Source organism: Homo sapiens, chromosome 16, assembly GCF_000001405.40.
Source record: "Homo sapiens chromosome 16, GRCh38.p14 Primary Assembly".
In the NCBI taxonomy this organism is placed as follows: domain Eukaryota; kingdom Metazoa; phylum Chordata; class Mammalia; order Primates; family Hominidae; genus Homo; species Homo sapiens.
Genome location: NC_000016.10, coordinates 74,850,774 through 74,869,983, shown reverse-complemented (window position 1 = coordinate 74,869,983; position 19,210 = coordinate 74,850,774). Strand labels below are relative to the sequence as shown.

At 45.6% G+C, this 19,210-nt stretch overlaps 2 annotated features.

Moving 5' to 3' along the window:
- Window positions 3,479-3,773: a silencer, noted in NCBI's record as "tiled region #8667; K562 Repressive non-DNase unmatched - State 23:Low". NCBI's record gives its function as "represses a minimal TATA promoter and a strong SV40 promoter by Sharpr-MPRA in K562 cells {active_cell/tissue: K562}" and the evidence as "EXISTENCE:reporter gene assay evidence [ECO:0000049][PMID:27701403]".
- Window positions 6,867-7,006: an enhancer, noted in NCBI's record as "active region_11111". NCBI's record gives its function as "activates an Ori minimal core promoter by ATAC-STARR-seq in GM12878 lymphoblastoid cells {active_cell/tissue: GM12878}" and the evidence as "EXISTENCE:reporter gene assay evidence [ECO:0000049][PMID:35858748]".

The window sequence follows — 19,210 nt, the reverse complement described above, 5'->3', positions numbered from 1 at the left end:
AAAGGGTTGGTTTTGCTAATTGTGGCAAAATAGTTCAGCAAACAGGGTGACAAATCACACCCTCTTTTTTATGGCTCATCTTTGCGTGCCCAGCCTCAAGGTGGCGCCAGCCATGGGGTATGATTCACGCATCCAGTGGCGGGTCCTGGGCGTGGGGGAAACACACTTGGCTTTCTGCATCCTTCTTAGAATCTAATGGCTTTGTCAGAATCAGAACTAAATCTCCCATGTTGGCATTCTGTCACATTGGCAAGTTTATGTCGCCACAATATCACTAATTTAGTATTTCTTCCTCAAGTCTGAGAAGGTCTGATACAATTCATCAAGTACTGGACATGAGAATAGACACTTGGGCAAAGATGAACCATACAGAATGTGGTCTCTGGCCTGCTGGAGGCGGAGTCTAGTAGGAAACTTAAACATGTAAGTGCTTACACCAAAATGTGCTGTTGGCCTCCGAGGAAAGAAGGAACTCCACCAAGGGCCAAGACTGCACAGAGGACAGGGGTTTGGCTGAGTTCATATGAAGGGTGTTTTCAATGAGGAAGAGCGGGAGGGCACAGGGAAGGACCGTGCCAAGGACAAGACAGCATGGCATTGGGGGTGCTGTGTAGAGTTTTTTAGTGGAGCCTGTGCTGCCCCCCACTTCAGATGCCAGTCTCAAGTCCCAGGTTGTAACGCCATCTACCTGGAGATGGTGTCAGATCCCACAGGCTGAGGGCTCACCCCCACAACGCTGCCCCCCACTTCAGATGCCAGTCTCAAGTCCTAGGTTGTGTGACCTGTGCCTTCTGACCTACCGGCTCTAAACTGGGGGTTCCAATGACATCCTACTCAGGTTTCACTAGGAGACGTGCCGAATTTCTTTCCTTTTTTTTTTTTTTTTTTTTTTTTTAATTGAAATGGAGTCTATGTTGCCCAGGCTGGTCTTGAACTCGTGGGCTCAAGCAGTCCTCCTGCCTCAGCTTCCCAAAGTGCTGGGATTACAGGCATGAGCCACTGCACGCCACTGCACCTCGCTACTTATGTATTATAAAGGGTCTTACAAAGGATACAGGTGGGCAGCCAGATGAAGAGATACATTGGACAGTCACACAGGGTTGGTTCCCCTGGCAACCAGCCCCCATCCTGAGGCTGTCCGGGAGCCCACGAAGAGCCCACTCATTAGAACAAAAGCTGTTCCTCTCACAAAATTCCAAGGGATTTAGTAGCTTTGTGTCAGACACTCATCACTCAGGAAATTACAAAGGTCGTAGGAGCTGTGTTAGGAACCCGGATCAAAGACTAAATAGCAGCCCTATTGCTCAGGAAATGACAGGGTTGAGGAGTTCTATGTCAGGAACCAGGGCAGAGACCGGATATACGTTTCTTTTTAAATCACAGTAGCACACCCAGAAAAGGAAAGCAGTGTCTCAACTCACACTCAGGTCTATCTGACCCACACATTTTTAAGAAAAGATTTTTATATCTTGATTGTTTTTTCTAATTATAGAAGCACTTTAAATATTGTTACTATTTTGTTCTGTCTGCCTTGATTCCATATGATTTCCATAAGTAGGGCTTATTTTTATTTTCACAAATCAGAAAAACACAGACACAAGCCAAAACGAGGTGAAAGCCATCTCCTTATGAAGAAGGTATAGGGAGCCTCAGCGCTGCTTCCCAGGGAGAGAAAGCAGCTAGAGTTAAGCAAAAGCACAGGAGGCTGGGCACGGTGGCTCACGCCTGTAATCCCAGCACTTGGGAGGCCGAGGTGGGCAGATCACTTTAGCCCAGGAGTTCCAGACCAGTCTGGGCAACATAGTGAGATCCTATCTCTGTATTTTAAAAATATGTATTCAAAAAGAAAAAAAAGCATAGGAGCTTATATGTGAGGGCAAGTCTTTCTACCCACAGGAAGGCAAGACAAAAGAAACAGAAGAACAAGAAACACAGGAAATAAACAGAAAACAAAGACTAAAACGGCAGATTTTAATAGCCCCAAACTGAAATTCTCTTACGTGTCCTTCAGTAGGCGAATGGTTAAACAGACTCTAGCCTCTGTCCTGCGGAATGCTACTCAGCAATAAAAGGGAATGAACCCCAGAAATGAAGCGGTGTTGTGGTCCCGGGCGTGTCTTGGCATGTCATTGCCTCATGCCAAGGAAATCAAGGACACGGACACACATGGGGTGAGGTTAAGAGCGGAGGTTCAATAGGCGAAAGAAGGAGAAGAGAGAATAGCTCTCTCTCCTGCGAGAGAGAGGGGCACCTGAGTGGGAATTCTGGCCCGAGGCTGAGTGCAGCAGATTTTATAGACAGGATTGAGGAGGCAGTGTCTGATTTACGTAGCGCCCACGGATAGGGTGGACCAGGTGTGACGTTTAGCACAAGAGGAAGCTGGGCACCCCACCGTAATCTTATTATGGAGATGGGGTCTTTGCCTGGCTGGCGCCATGCTGTCTCTTCCTTACTGTATGCGTGGTTTGGCAAAGAGAAGGGAAGATGGAGCCGCCATGTTGAATATGCCTAGTCCCAGGTAGCTTTTTTTTATTGGCACAGCTGCCGGCATTCACCTGTGCAAGCTTCTAGTTTGCTTATCTATGTCTGCAGCTCGATTCTACAGGCTGCTCTTTATTAGAAAACAAAATGATTTGGGAGCTGCTTTTCATTAAAAAGGAAACCTTACTGAGGACTCCCATACCCTCACTATCTGCCTTAGTAATTTCTTCTTCACTCCTATATCATCAGATACACATAGCAATCTAGATGACTCTCAAGCGAATTACGCTGAGTGAAAAAAAGCCAACCCCAGAAGGTTACCTTCCACATGACTCTTTTTCTTTTTTTTTTTTTTTTTTGAGATGGTTCACTCTGTCGCCCAGGCTGGAGTGCAGTGGCACGATCTTGGCTCACTGCAACCTCTGCCTACCGGGTTCAAGCGATTCTCCTGCCTCAGCCTCCCCAGTAGCTGGGATTACAGGCACATGCTGCCACGCCCAGCTAATTTTGTATTTTTAGTAGAGACGGGGTTTCACCATGTTGGTCAGGTTGGTCTCGAACTCCTGAACTCTTGATCCACCCGCCTTGGCCTCCCGAAGTGCTGGGATTACAGTCATGAGCCACTGCACCCAGCCTAATTTTTGTATTTTTAATAGAGACTAAACATACAAAAATTGGCCAGGCTGGTTTCCAACTCCTGACCAAGTGATCCGCCTGCCTCAGCCTCCCAAAGTGCTGGGATTACAGGCGTGAGCCACCAGGCCTGGCCATCTTTTCAGGTTTTTGCATTTCTGACTATTGATGGGTCCGTTCCTACCAGCCAACCAGTCCTGTGACCCCACCCAGAAGCAGACTCAGCATGCACAAGGACCATGTTCCACACCCCTAGGATTGCACCCCCAACTAATCAGCAGCACCTTGGCCTGCCAAACTATCCTTGAAAAACCCTAGGCTCTGAGATTTTGGAGAGACTGATTTAAGTAATAAAACCTCAGTCTGCTGTTCAACCAGCTCTGTGCCAATTAAATTCTTTCTCTATTACAGTTCCCCTGTCTTGATAAATGGGCTCTGTCTGGGCAGTAGGCAAATGAACCCGTTGGGTGGTTACGGCTGGAGAAGAGTTGGGCGGTCAGCGGTCGGCAGGGGCAGGAGGTTGGGAGGTGTGGCTATAAAAGGGCAGCACAAAGGACCCTTGTGGGGATGGGACCTTTTCATATGTTGATCGTGATGGTGAGTCCATACCTACACGTGATAAATTGCACAGAACTAAATACCCACAATGGAGTGCAAGTAAAACCGGGGAAATCTGAGGAAGATGGGTGGATTGTCTGAATGTCAATATCCTGAATGTGACACTGTACTGTAGTCTTGCAAGATGTTACCATTGGGGGAAACTGGGCAAAGCGTACACAGAGTGTCTGCCTGCCTGCCCACCCACCCCCTCCCTCCCTCCCTCCCTGCATGCTTGCTTCCTTTCTTCGTTTCTCCCTCCCCTCCCCTCCCCTCCCCTCCCCTCCCCTCCCCTCCCCTCCCCTCGCCTCCCCGCCCCTTTCCTTCCCTTCCCTTCCTTTCCCTTCCCTTCCCTTCTTTTTTTTTAGACAGTTTCGTTTTTGCTGCCCAGGCTGGAGTGCAATGGTGAGATCTCGGCTCACCACAACCTCCGCCTCCTGGGTTCAAGCGATTCTTCTACCTCAGCCTCCCCAGTAGCTAGGATTACAGGCATGCGCCGCCATGCCCAGCTAATTTTGTATTTTTAGTAGAGATGGGGTTTCTCCGTGTTGGTCAGGCTAGTCTCAAACTCCCAACCTCAGGTGATCCGCCTGCCTCGGCCTCCCAAAGTGCTGGGATTACAGGTGTGAGCCACTGTGCCTGGCTGTCTGTATTATTTCTTAAAACTGTATGTGAATCTACAATTCTCTCAAAATAAAAAGTGTAATTATTTTTTAAAAGCTGGATACTGTGGGCGAGGCATGGTGGCTCACGCCTGTAATCCCAGCACTTTGGGAGGCCGAGGTGGGTGGATCACGAGGTCAGGAGTTCCAGACCAGCCTGGCCGAGATGGTGAAACCCTATCTCTACTAAAAATACAAAAATTAGCCAGGCACAGTGGCAGGCGCCTGTAATCCCAGCTACTCGGGAGGCTTAGGCAGGAGAATCGCTTGAAACTGGGAGGCGGAGGTTGCAGTCAGCCGAGATCGCGCCGCTGCACTCTAGCCTGGGCAACAGAGCAAGACTCTGTCTCAAAAAAAAAAAAAAAAAAAAAAAGCTGGATACTGTGATTCACCACAGTTGGGTCTGATAAACAACTATGAACAACTCTGAATTTTGAACATCAGCTTAGCTATGCTAGACCCTCTCTGGACGTAACTGAAGACCGTTTCTTTTTTTTTTTTTTTTTTGAGACAGAGTCTCACTCTGTCGCCCAGGCTGGAGTGCAGTGGCGCAATCAGAGCTTACTGCAGCTTCTGCCTCCCGGGTTCAAGTGATTCTCCTGCCTCAGCTCCTGAGTAGCTGGGATTACAGGTGCCTGCCACCATGCCCAGCTAATTTTTGTATTTTTAGTAGAGATGGGGTTTTACTGTTTTGTGTTTTTAGTAGAGATGGGGTTTCACTGTGTTAGCCAGGCTGGTCTTGAGCTCCTGACCTCAAGTGTCCAGCTGGGCCTCCCAAAGGGCTGGCATTACAGGTGTGAGCCACACACCTGGCCAGTGGGACTTGTTTTAACGAATTGCACAGGGGCTTATAGACTCATTCCGTCCCACCTAGAGAGCAGGAATTGATCCTTAATTAGCACACTCACCCTCTGACACACACACCAACACCCCAGCTGCTGTGTCTTCTGGCAGAGCCATGCATGGTGTGTGCTCCCTTGCCTGACAAGCAAAGAAACTAGGAGCTCGTTGTGTGGGTCATGGTAAAAATTTTTGTGTTTCCTTTGAGTAAAGGGAGTAACAGTCGTGAGTGAAACTCTTTTTGATAAGGAGTAGCAACGGAGAGAAGGGGAAAGAATCAGATATTTAGCTGGTAGACTCAGTGGGACTGAGTTCAGGCCTGGTTTGCCACTACTAGAAGGGACTTCTGATGTTAAATAATGAGCATAAAGCGTATTAGTCTGTTTTCACCCTGCTGCAAGGAACCGCGTGAGATTGGGTAATTTATAAAGGAAAGAGGTTCAATTGACTCACAGTTCTGCATGGCTGGGGAGGCCTCAGGAAACTTACAATCATGGTGGAAGGAGAAGCAGGGACATCTTATGTGGTGGCAGGTGAGAGAGTGTGTGCGTAGGAGGAACTGTCAAACACAAAACCATGAGATCTCATGAGAACTCACTATCACGAGAACAGCGTGGGGGAAACTACCTCCACAATCCATTCACCTCCCACCAGGTCCCACTCTCCACACGTGGGGATTATGGGGATTAACAATTCAAGATGAGATTTGGGTGGGGACACAGAGCCAAGCCGTATCATCTAGTTTGTGTTCTGAGTTCTTTTTATATATTTCCCTTATGGTAGTGGTAATTATTTTCCAGTTACACTTGTGGTTGAAAAGCAATAGAACTTTCAGGAATAGCGGACAACCATGGTGTTCGCCATCACTTTGGAAATACACAACTCATCTCAGGGGACTGGTTATGTCTTCCCAAACCAGATATCAGAAAATCCCACTGCTGCCGTCAGGGAGAATGCCATCAGGGAGAATGCCTATTAGCATATGGGAAGGCCCATGGATAAGCTGTCTTCGCAGTGGGCTAACTGGAAAACGTAAGAAAACCGCAGCCACAGCCGGGCGCGGTGGCTCACGCCTGTAATCCCAGCACTTTGGGAGGCCGAGGTGGGTGGATCGCCTGAGGTCAGGAGTTTGAGACTGCCTGGCTAACATGGCAAAACCCCATCTCTACTAAAAATACAAAAAAATTAGCCGAGCATGGTGGTGCGTGCCTGAAATCCCAGGTACTCAGGAGGCTGAGGCAGGAGAATCACTTGAACCTGGGAGGCAGAAGTTGCACTGAGCCGAGATTGAGCCACTGCACTGCAGCCTGGGTGACAGAGCGGGACTCTGTCTCAAAAAAAAAACAAAGAAAGACATGAGGACCAAGCTCCTCTTCTATCATAAATATTTTTTCTCTGACAGCAACATAAATTACAACACAATCTCTAACTACTGACTTTATTTTGCTACGTGAATCCAAGATAAAATATAAAGGATGAAAAAAACAATGGAATAGAAATAGCAGCTCTTTTCTCACTGAACTCAGCTCTTTGCTGTCATAGGCCTGAATTGCCATTCGGGAGAGCATTTTCTCTCCCCCTTGGGTGCTTCCGGATTGAAAGTTCTTTCAGCATTAACTGGCCCAAGCTTCTGGTTGCTTGTGCAGTATAAATAGAGGATACGCTCTTTCTTGTTTTTCCCACAAAAAGCTTTGAAAGAGTTGGAAATCCCGTAAGAGACGGCTGCAAGAGCTCGGAGTGTAATTTTTAGAGCTGAAGGTGTAATTTTTAGAACATTGGTCTCTTCCTGAACATTGACATCTTTAAAGCTGAGAAATTATTAACACTAGGTGGCAGCAGAGACCTAGTGCAGGTGAGCGCGTCACCATCTGAAATGTAGATAAGGTTAAGGGTTAATTCAGTCTAGTCTACACTCACTTCTCTAGTTGTGAAATGAAAGATCAGCTCACTTATAATTCATTCTGGATTTGTTGATGCAATGATTGAGCAGACGTAACATCAGAAAAGCCGTTTGAAATCCTGCCTCTCACCTTGTTGGTCATGAATGTGTCTTACACATTATTGCTGAAATCAGAGCTCTGACATTAACATGAAATTACCTTTTTGTTTTTTTTTTTTTTGACCAGAGTTTCACTCTTGTTGCCCAGGCTGGAGTGCAATGGCGCAATCTCGGCTCACCGCAACCTCCACCTCCCGGGTTCAAGCAATTCTCCTGCCTCAGCCTCCAGAGTAGCTGGGATTACAGGCACACACCACCATGCTCAGCTAATTTTTTTGTATTTTTACTAGAGACTGGGTTTCTCCATGTTGGTCAGGCTGGTCTTGAACTCCCGACCTCAGGTGATCTGCCCGCCTCGGCCTCCCAAAGTGCTGGGATTACAGGCGTGAGCCACTGTGCCCGGCCTGAAATTACATTTTAAAATGAGAAACATAGTTACAGTGCACATATAAATAAGGAAGATGGATGTGGTCACATCAAATCCAGGAGCTTGGTCAGTAAGGTGGTAGGGGGACTCCAACAACATAGAGTCCAGCATTGGAGTTCAAAGGTGGAACTGAAGTAAGGAATAAAAGATAAAAAAAATAAAAACAATGAGCTGAAACCAGGTTCATGTCTTTCTGTGTATTTCACCGTTGACCTTCAAACCAGCCCCATCAGAGACACAGCTCATTTGACAGTTCTGTGAGAATAAAGCTCAGAGACTTTTGCCGCAGTTCGCAGGAAGAACAACAAAGCTAGGATTGGAACCCAGCTCTCCTATAGGTGAGCCTGACTTCTTTTGCTCTATCACGTTGCTTTAACGGCAAGAATGTGTAGCTACCATGGTGGGGACAGTTCACAGACTGTGTTTATCCTTCTATTTCAGATGGGTCAAAGCCAGAGAGCTGAGATAAGATAGGTAATTCATGTGCTGGATAATTGCATCGAATCCAGATGAAAAAAATCTCAACAAATGATGGTCGTAGATCCAGGCTGAAAAGACAAGTTTTACAAAGGGGGTGGGTGCGGTGGCTCATGCATGTAATCCTAGCACTTTGGGAGGCCGAGGTGGGCAGATCACCTGAGGTCAGAAGTTCGAGACCAGCCTGGCCAACATGGTGAAACCCAGTCTCTACTAAAAATACAAAAATTTGCTGGGCATGGTGATGCATGCCTGTAATTTCAGCTACTCGGGAGGCTCAGGCGGGAGAATCGTCTGAACCCAGGAGGCAGAGGTTGCAGTGAGCCAAGATTGCACCACTGCACTCCAGCCTGGGCGACAGAGCGAGACTCTGTCTCAAAAAAAAAAAAAAGGTTTTATGAAGGATGGATGCAAAGTCTCCAGTTGGTTGGAAGTAACTGTAGAAGTGCAGGATGAGGGCGTTCCCATGAAAAAGACCCAGAGGTTTTAGCGAACTGCTTGGTATGAAGCAACAATGTGCATTTATGATCAAAAAGGTCAATGAAATCTCATAGTTCACTGAATGGAGAGAGAAAAATAGCCCCATTTATTCTACTTTATTAACCCACTGGTGAATCATTGCGTTCAATTCTAGGACATTGTTAGAGGGACAGAGTTCAAAGGATGGGCAAGGTGGTAACAAATTTGAAAACTATATACAATGAAGAATTACTGGCCGGGTGTGGTGGCTCACGCCTGTAATCCCAGCACTTTGGGAGGCCGAGGCGGGTGGATCACCTGAGGTCAGGAGTTCGAGACCAGCCTGGCTAACGTGGAGAAACTCCATCTCTACTAAAACATACAAAAATTAGCTGGGCTTGGTGGCAGGCGCCTGTAATCCCAGCTACTCTGGAGGCTAAGGCAGGAGAATCACTTGAACCTGTGAGGCGGAAGTTGCAGTGAGCCAAGATGGCGCCATTGCACTCCAACCTGGGCGACAGAGCAAGACTCCGTCTCAAAAAAAAAAAAAAAAAAAAGAATTACTGCAAAATTGGAAAATTTTAACCTGGTAAAGGGAAGATATAGAGAAGATATGAAAAACTGACTTTTTTTTTTTTTAAGAGACAGGATCTCACTTTGTTGCCCAGGCTGGAGTGCAGTGGTGCAATCACAGCTCACTGTAGCCTTAAACTGGGCTCAAGTGATCCTCCCAAGTAGCTAGGTCTACAGGCATGTGCCACCATGCCTGGCTAATTTTTAAATTTTTTTGTAGAGAGAGGGTCTCGCTTTGTTGCCCAGGCTGCTCTCAAACTCCTGGCCTCAAGCAATCCTCCCACCTTGGCCTCCCAAACTGCCGTAATTGCAGGCATGAACCACCAAGTCTGGCCTGAAAAGCTGACTTTTAATGGCTAAAAGTAAATTAGATTTATTCTGTAGTTCCAGAAATCAAAAGTAGGATTAATGGAATCAAATTACAAGGATATAGATTTCAGCTCAGTTTAAGTGTAGCAGAAAAAAATAACTTGAATCAATCGATAGTACTGACTTTCACATATAATGGCTATAACATAACTCACCTGAGAGTATTTCTGTTTAGGGAAATAACCTTAATGAGCCTCTTTGGCTGTGCAAGGTGAGCTGCCTCTGGCTACAGTCAGAGGAGGAAGATACAAAAAATAAAGTCCAATTCTACTGCCTTGTAAGGTAGGAAGAGTTTTTGCTTTCCCCAGGGAGCTGTGGAAGGAAGGAAGAAACGTGAGGAGGGCTGGGGAAAGTCCAGGACTCACGGAGTGAAAAATTTGCCAAGGTGGGGAATGGCTATTTTCTCATTAAGTTTGAAATTATTTCCTGTTTGGTGCCATAATTACCCTCGACGACCATTAGCCCTTCAGAAAAATCTGCCAGACACAGTGACCTTGTCAGTGGTGTTTGGCGGGGGAAGTGACAGAAGAGGACTGGAGTTCATGGTGGATGAAGGGTCCCCGGAGAGAAGACGATGAACATGGACACTGAACTGTACGCAGTGGTGGCAGGCAAGTGGCTGCCTGGACGGACTGCTCAATACGGGGAACACTGGAGGAGGCCACCCACAATCTACCTTCCTTAGTTCTTAAAGATAAAGATGACTTCAGCAGGACGGGGGAGTTGAGGGTATCTAGATTACACTAGAGGAGACTTAAAATTGTCCAGTAATGAGGTAGTGAGCTCCCCCTCACTGGAAGAGTTCTCTTGCGAACATCTGTCAAAGCTGTCGTAGAGGGAATTCTTGCATTGGTTAAGAGGGTGCACCAATGAGCTGTAAAGATCCTTATGAAACCCGGGCACAGTGGCTCATGCCTGTGATACCAGCGCTTTGGAAGGCTGAGGTGAGAGGATTGCTTGACCCTGGAGCTTGAGATCAGCCTGGGTAACATAGGGAGACCGTGTCTCTAAGAAAAAAAAAAAAATACAGCTGGGCATGGTGGTGTACACCTGTGGTCCCAGCTACTCAGGAGGCTAAGGTGGGAGGATCACTTGAGCCCAGGAGGTCAAGGTTGCAGTGAGCCATGATCACACCACTGAACTGCCTGGGCAATAGAGTGAGACCCTATCTCCAAAAAATAAAATAAAAATTTTAAGATCCTTATGAAAGAAGCTGACCACCTTTCCTTTTACCTGCCTGATTATGTTCTATCATTCAAAGGTCAACTTTGGGTTGGCAAAAATTTCACGGTACTCAATAAATTAATATTTAAATCACTGACTATTTTTCAAAAGGCCTGATTCTACTTTTCCATCCAACCATTTAAGGAGTATCTATTCAGTTTCGGGCAATTATGCTACCCTTTATGGGGGCACACTTGTTAATTAGACATGATTCCTGCTCTTTTGTGATACATTTTTGTACGCACAAAACTTACGGGAATGAATTTTCTGGATCAGGAATTTGGAGCAGTGGGAATAGCATCTGTGAATCTGGAGACCTTTGTTCTCACTCCAGCTTTGCTGTGTGACTGAGAGAAGTTACAGAACCTCTGTCAATCTCCAGTTACTCATCCGTAAAATAAAAATGCAGAACTATTCCAGGTGTCGCAAACTCCAAAGCCTACGGGGTTCAGGCACGTAATGTAAGTACATGAAGCAAGCAGGTGTTATGATTTGTTTCATAACCACATTAAGTAGAATTCTCCAGGCAGGCACTTCGCATGTTAAGCATATTGCACTATTTTCTCTTCCTTAGAGAATTGCGTTCTCCATGGACAGAGAGAGGGGAACCACGGACATGGGCTTATTTGAGGGTGGAGGGTGGGAGGAGGGAGAAGTTCAGGAAAATAAAACCCAGCTATTGGGTACCACGCTTAGTACCTGGGTGACAAAATAATATGTACACTAAACCCACAAGTCACGAGTTTACCTAAATAGCAAACCTGTACGTGTAGCCCTGAATCTAAAATAAAATATACCACTAATATATATATAAGAAAACTAATATATAATAAAATATATATGTATATAAAATTGTGTTCCGTCCCATTTTTCTTAAAACACTCAGCCTTCTAGATCTTTCATTTATTTTTCCACACTGATAGAGACACAGTATAAGGGGTTTTAGTGGCACACAACAATCTCCACTACAGCTATGTTAAGCAGGAAAGAGATTTATGAAAGAGATACTGAACCGGGCACGGTGGCTGGTGCCTGTAATCCCAGCACTTTGGGAAGCTGAGGTGGGCGGATTACTTGAGGTCAGGAGTTCAAGACCCGCCTGGCCAACGCAGAGAAACCCCGACTCTACTAAAAATAAATAAAAATAAATTAGCCAGGTGTGGTGGTGCGTGCCTGTAATCCCAGATACTTGGGAGGCTGAGGCAGGAGAATCGCTTGAGCCTGGGAGGTGGAGGTTGCAGTGAGTCAAGATCATGCCACTGTACTCCAGCCTGGGCGACAGAGCAAGACTCCATCTCAAAAAAAAAAAGTTACTTAGTAATTCACAGAAATTCCAGGGAGGCTGGAAAACCAGGCTTGAAGGCTAAGGCAGCCAGTGTGGGTACTGTCAGATAAAATACAGGATCCTCAGGCAAATCTGGATGTCATTTGGAACATACTTATTTGTTCTTAACCTGAAGTTCAAAGTTAAATGGACATCTGGTATTTTTATTTGCAAAATCTGGCCACCCTAGCCAAGGTGGCTAATTGCCTAAATTATATTCTGAGATGATTCTAGGTGCTGATACCAGCGATGCTACCCAGCCCTGACTCTGAGCAGGCGATGGCCCCCAACCAGGTCTCTGCCAGCTCTGACTCTGAAAACTTGCTGTCCCACCCTGAACCTGTTCCTCATGGGTCCCCCTTTATACACCTCTCCAAATCGAGGTCTTGAACAGAAGTCCAATAGCCAATCAATAAAAAAAGATGCCCATTCTCACCAGTAATCAGGGAAATGCAAGTTAAGACAAAGGATCGCATTGGTGAGTCAGTGGGTAGTAATTAAGAGCCTGGACCCTGTGGCCAGACAATGTGGATTTGCATCTTGTCTTGGTGGTGTGTTTGGCACTGTGCTTCAATTTCCTCCTCTGTAAAGTGCGGGTAATAGTCTTATCTCAATACATTCGAAGAATGTATTTCTAAATTTCTAATATGCTTTGAAGTTTTGTTTTGTTTTGTTTTTGTTTTTGTTTTTTTTGACACGGAGTTTCCCTCTTGTTGCCCAGACTGGAGTGCAATGGCACGATCTCAGCTCACCGCAACCTCCGCCTGCCGCATTCAAGCGATTCTCCTGCCTCAGCCTCTCAAGTAGCTGGGATTACAGGCATGCGCCACCAAGCCCTGCTAATTTTGTATTTTTGGTAGAGATGGGGTTTCTCTGTGTTGGTCAGTCTGGTCTTGAACTCCCAACCTCAGGTGATCTGCCCGCCTTGGCCTCCTAAAGTGTTGGGATTACACGCATGAGCCACCGTGCCAGCGCCTTGAAGTTTTTTATGCTCTGGCATAGAGTTCTTCCTGCTCTCTTGATGGGGCCTCCTGGAAAGAATGTGCCTTTCCTGCCCCTTAATACTCAGCCTCGCCACCATGATTTACGTTGGAAACCATCAGGACTCAACTCATCACGCCCTGTATCCTTGTTTATGCCAACAGGGAAAGTTGAGAAATGTATTTCACTCAGGCAGGCCATCAAGGTCAACGCTAACAGCGATAAAAGTCATGTCGGTAGTATGATATGATATGATAGTTGGTATGACGCAGTGAAGGAGGCATTTTGCCGCTACGGCCATCCTCTAAAACCAGAACCTCAGGCTAGGTTCGTTGAGAAAGAAATCCCATCTGAGGGACAGTCCAAAAAATGCTTGACTGGCACTCCTCAAAACTGTCAAGATCATCAAAACCAAGGAAAATCTGAGAAACTTACAGCCAGGAGGAACCTACGGAGGGAGAGAAGAAAACTAAATATCATGTGGGATCCTGGATAGGACCCTGGAACAGAAAAGGGACATTAGGTGAAAACTAAAGAAATCTGAGTAAAGTGTGGGTCTTAGTTAGTAATCATGTTCCAATATTGATTCATTCATGATGACAAATGTACCATGCTAATGTCTGATATTAACAAACAGGGTAAACTGGGCATGGGATATAGGAACTCTGTACATCTTTGCTATTTTGCTATATATCTAAAAATCTTCTAAAATAAAAAGTTTATTGGTAGGTGTTTTTTTTTTTTGTTTTTTTGTTTTTTTGTTTTTTTTGACAGAGTCTCGCTCTGTTGCCTGCTCTGTCACCCATGCTGGAGTGCAATGGCACGATCTTGGCTCACTGCAACCTCCACCTCCTGGGTTCAAGCAATTCTCAGCCTCCCGAGTAGCTGGGATTACGGGCGCCCACCACCACACCTGGCTAATTTTTGTATTTTTAGTAAAGATGGCGTTTCACCATGTTGGCCGGGCTGTTCTTGAACTCCTGACCTCAGGTGATCCACCTACCTTGGCCTCCCAAAGTGCTGGGATCACAGGCGTGAGCCACCACGCCTGGCCACTAAGGGTTTTAAGACTTCCCATAACGACAGTAATTACTTTCTTCCAAAGCTGTTCATTAGAGGTAAAGAAAAGGTGTAAGATTTACCATACTTACACTTGATTTCTATTTAGCATATTCTTGAGAATATTGACATAAACATACAATATGGTGACCCCTATGAATTGTTACCATTACCATAATTTCAAATGACTTGTGCTGACTTTTTTCTTTTTTTGTTTTGAGACAGAGTCTTGCTCTGTCGCCCAGGCTGGAGTGCAGTGGTGCGATTTCGGCTCACTGCAACCTCCTCCTTCCGGGTACAAGTGTTTCTCCTGCCTCAGCCTCCCACGTAGCTGGGACTGCAGGCACGTGCCACCACGCCTGGCTAATTTTTGTATTTTTAGTAGATATGGGGTTTTACCGTGTTAGCCAGGATGGTCTCGATCTCCTGACCTTGTGATCCACCCGCCTCAGCCTCCCAAAGTGCTGGGATTACAGGTGTGAGCCACTGCGCCCGGCTTGTCTTTTTTTCTTAATGGAGTCAGCATCTCACTAAGTTGCCAAGGCTGGTCTTGAACTCTTGGGCTCAAGTGATCCTCCTGCCTCAGCCTCCCAAAGTGCTAGGATTACAAGTGTGAGCCACTGTGCCTGTACATGAGGTGGCCTTTCTAAATAAATGAATCAAAATTGTAATTACTCTTTATGTTATCTTGAGGTTCTCTTGATTCTTAGCTTGACATTTTGAGATCAAGGAGTAATTAGAAAATGGCACAAAAGTGCTACTTAGTACATGAAAATCTTTCCAATTTAGGCTGCAAAGCCAATTAGTCATGCTTAGAAATAAGGATAGGCCGGGCATGGTGGCTAACGCCAGTAATCCCAACATTTTGGGAAGACAAAGTAGGAGGATCGCTTGAGGCCAGGAGTTCAAGACCAGCCCGGGCAACACAGTGAGACTCGGTCTCTACAAAAAAAATTTAAAAATTAGCCAGGTGTGGTGGTGCGCGCCTCAGGGCTACTCAGGGAGGCTGAGGTGGGAGGTTTGCTTGAGCCTAAGAGATCAATGCTACAGTGAGCTATGATTGTGCCACTGCACTCTCCAACCTGGGTGACAGAGCAAGACTCTCTAAAAAAAAAAAAAAAAAAAAAAAAAACTTTTGAAATAGCATTTATACCTCTTAGTACTCTGCATTTATTTAATTGGGCCCCTGTATTCAGAAATGGCAGCAACCTTGAACTCACTGCGTACTGGCTAAAGGCACACGCAGGTACATAGGCAATAGCACTTCCTACCTCCCTGGCTGGCAAGATTAAAAGCTGAGAAAACACACTGTTTGCGAGTGTGTGGGGAAGCATGCAGAGTTGTACGCTGCTGATGGGTGTGTGAATTGGGGAAGCCTTCTTGGAAAACACTTTGGCAACAGTGCTCTGAATGTTCAATACTCAATCCTTTCATTCAACTTCATTAGAGGGAATTGACCCCATCGATGTGCTTACGCAAATGCACAAAAATGTTTGTATCAGAATGTTTTTCTTTCTCACCCTGTTGCCCAGGCTGGAGTGCAGTGGCGAGATCATGGCTCATTGCAGCCTTGAACTCCTGGGCTCAAGCGATCCTCCTACTTCAGCGTCCCAAGTAGCTGAGACCACAGACGTGAGCTGCTGTGCCCAGCTACTTTTCTTAAATTTATTTTTTGTAAAGATGGGGGAGTGTCATTTACGTTGCCCTGGCTGGTCTTGAACTCCTGGGCTCAAGTAATCCTCCCACCTCGGCCTCCGAAAGTGCTAGGATTATAGAATCACTGGACCTGGCCAGAATGTTTACTTTCACTTTGTTTATTACAGTGAGAAAAAGGGGAAGCAACCTAAATAAATGTTCATCAACAGGGAAATGATAAAAGAAATTGTGGATATGTTCGTGCAATGGAATACTACAAAACACTGGGAAAACATGGATCCGGATTATATGTGCTGCCGTAAATATTGTTCAAAGAACACACAGACAAAATACATATAAAACTGGTTCTATCATGCACTGGGGCCTGTCATGGGGTGGGGGGAGCGGGGAGGGATAGCATTAGGAGATATACCTAATGTAATGACCAGTTAATGGGTGCAGCACACCAACATGGCACATGTATGCATATGTAACAAACCTGCGCGTTGTGCACATGTACCCTAAAACTTAAAGTATAATAATAATTAAAAAAATAAAAAAGTGTTTCTATTTCTTTCTTTTTTTTTTTTTGAGATGGAGTCTTGCTCTGTCACCCAGACTGGAGTGCAATGGCGCGGTCTCGGCTCACTGCAACCTCTGCTTCCCGGGTTCAAGTGATTCTCCTGCCTCAGCTTCCCGAGGAGCTGGGACTACAGGCGCCTGCCACCACGCCTGGGTAATTTTTGTATTTTTAAAGTAGAGACGGGGTTTCACCGTGTTGGCCAGGCTGGTCTCGAACTGCTGACTTTGTGACCTGCCTGCCTCAGCCTCCCAAAGTGCTGGGATTACAGGCATGAGCCACCGCGCCAAGCCAGTGTGGTTCTATTTCTTAAAAATGATATATGATATATAAACTATATCAATGTTTAAATATATATAAATGATATAAAAATATGTAACTTATCAAGTATATATAAATGTACATTTCTAAGTGTATTTATAAATTTATAAACATTTATAAATACATAGATAATTTCTGGAAGGCCACATTGTTAATGGGAATTTTCTCTGGCGAATCAGCCTGAGGGAGTTGGGGTGGGAACAGAATTTTACTTTTATATTTTTAATGTTTTGTACGGTTTGATTTTGTTTATTTATTTTTTTGACACGGGGTCTCACTTTGTCACCTAGGCTGGAGTGCAGTGGCACAATCTCGGCTCACTGCAGCCTCGACCTCCCGGGTTCAAGCAATCCTTCTGCCTCAGCCCCCCAAGTAGCTGGGACTACAGGCACAGACCACCACACCCAGCTAATTTTTTTGTATTTTTTGTAGAGACGTGGTTTCACCATGTTGCCCACACTGGTCTTGAACTCCTGAGTTCAAGCCATCCACCTGCCTTGGCCTCCCAAGTGCTGAGATTACAGGCATGAGCCACCACACCTGGCCCTGTTCGATTTTTTAATGATTCTTTGAGTTTTTACATGCAAACAAAACCTAGTTGACACTTTGGGAGGCTGAGGCGGGAGGATCCCTTGAGCCCAGGAGGTTGAGACTGCAATGAGCTATGATTGCACCACTGCACTCCAGCCTGGGTGACAGAGTGAAAGAGTGAGACCTTGTCTTAAAACAAAAACGAAACAAAACAAAAGCTAGTTAAATATTGTAAGGTTTTCTTGCCACAAAAACCCAAAACAAAACTTTTTTAAATATAAAAAGGGAAGTTTTTGCAGGCTGCTCAGTGCGTGGCTAAGAAGAATGACATGTATTTTATTATTAATCTTTTCTTTTTTATTTTTATTTTTTGAGATGGAGTCTCACTCTGTCGCCCAGGCTGGAGTGCAGTGGCGTGATCTTGGCTCATTGCAAGATCCACCTCCCAGGTTCACGCCATTCTCCTGCCTCCGCCTTCCGAGTAGCTGGGACTACAGGCACCTGCCACCGCGCCCAGCTAATTTTTTTGTGTTTTTAGTAGAGACGGGGTTTCACTGTGTTAGCCAGGATGGTCTCGTTCTCCTGACCTCGTGATCCGCCCGCCTCGGCCTCCCAAAGTGCTGGGATTACAGGCTTGAGCCACCGCACCCGGCCAGTCTTTTCTTTTTTTTCTTGAGAATGACACATATTGGAGGCAGCACTCAGCACCCATTGTTGGGTGCAAACCACTGTCATTCCTCCACTTTGTTTTAATAGGGGTGGCTACACCTGGAGCCAAATGTTTATATGGGTCAAATAAAGCACACACCCAAAGAATGTGTGCTTATCAACAGATTTATTACGAGGCAGCTTTTATGGGTGTGTTTGACATTTCAAATGTTATGCCAATATGGCCAGAAGTCATCAACCTGACATTAAGGTTAGTAGCTTACTTAATAGATAGTGACAATTAAAATTATATTTGAAAAGTCCCTCCCTAAAGAGTTTTGGCATTCTGAATATTACATAGTCCATGGGAATAATAGTGTCACCCAAGAAAACTTGACTTTTCTTCTAAATAGTCTCAAAAGCTGATTGCAGAGAGTAAAAGGGAAGAGAGGTTTTGTTAATAACTCAAACAGGCCAGCTGAAGTCAGTTCTGAGCGATATGAGTGCAAGGGATTTGGAATAATTTGGAGCAAATAATGATAATATATTAAGTAAAAAAAAAGACATGACAAAGAACTTACATCTATGTTCGTAGTTTTTCTTTAAAAAACCAAAGTTCTGCACATGTACGCATTTTAAATCATGGAAGAATAATCCCATTCACAATTCCAGTCCATCCATCTGCTTTTCCTATACCAATCGGCTGCTGAGGTCTAAGGGCTGACAGGTGTAGTGAGGCCTTGGGCCGCCCACCAGCAAGGTTTAAGTGCTTGCCAGTCAGCTCGGGGCCCTGCAGGTGGGCCTGGAAGTTTCCTGGGCCCTGTGAAAGGAGATCTACTCTGGCTTCGTCTCTAAGTGCCTGGGTCTTGGGGGCTCCTGGAAGTCAACTTGCTGGACAGGTAGGCTGATTGGGAGGGGTTATTTGAAAAGTGGGGTTAGTGGTGGTTACCAAGAGAAATGGGAAATGGGTGTCGGGAAGGAGGTCGTTAAATCCACTGTGGGAAGCAGTTATTAATGAGGGTTGGCCTATGAGTATTTAGGGCAGGATCCATTGTTTTTCTTTCATTTCTTTCTTTTTTTTTTTTTTGACATGGAGTCTTGCTCTGTCATCCAGGCTGGAGTGCAGTGGTACAATCTCAGCTCACTGCAATCTCCGCCTCCTGGGTTCAAGTGATTCTCCTGCCTCAACCTCCCGATTAGCTGGGATTACGAGCATGTACCACCATGTCCAGCTAATTTTTGTATTTTTAGTAGAGATAGGGTTTCACCATGTTGGCCAGGTTGGTCTTGAAGCCCCAACCTCAGGTGACCCGCCTGTCTCGGCCTCCCAAAGTGCTGGGATTACAGGTGTGAGCCACCAGATCCATTGTTTTTCAAGTTTTAAAGAAAA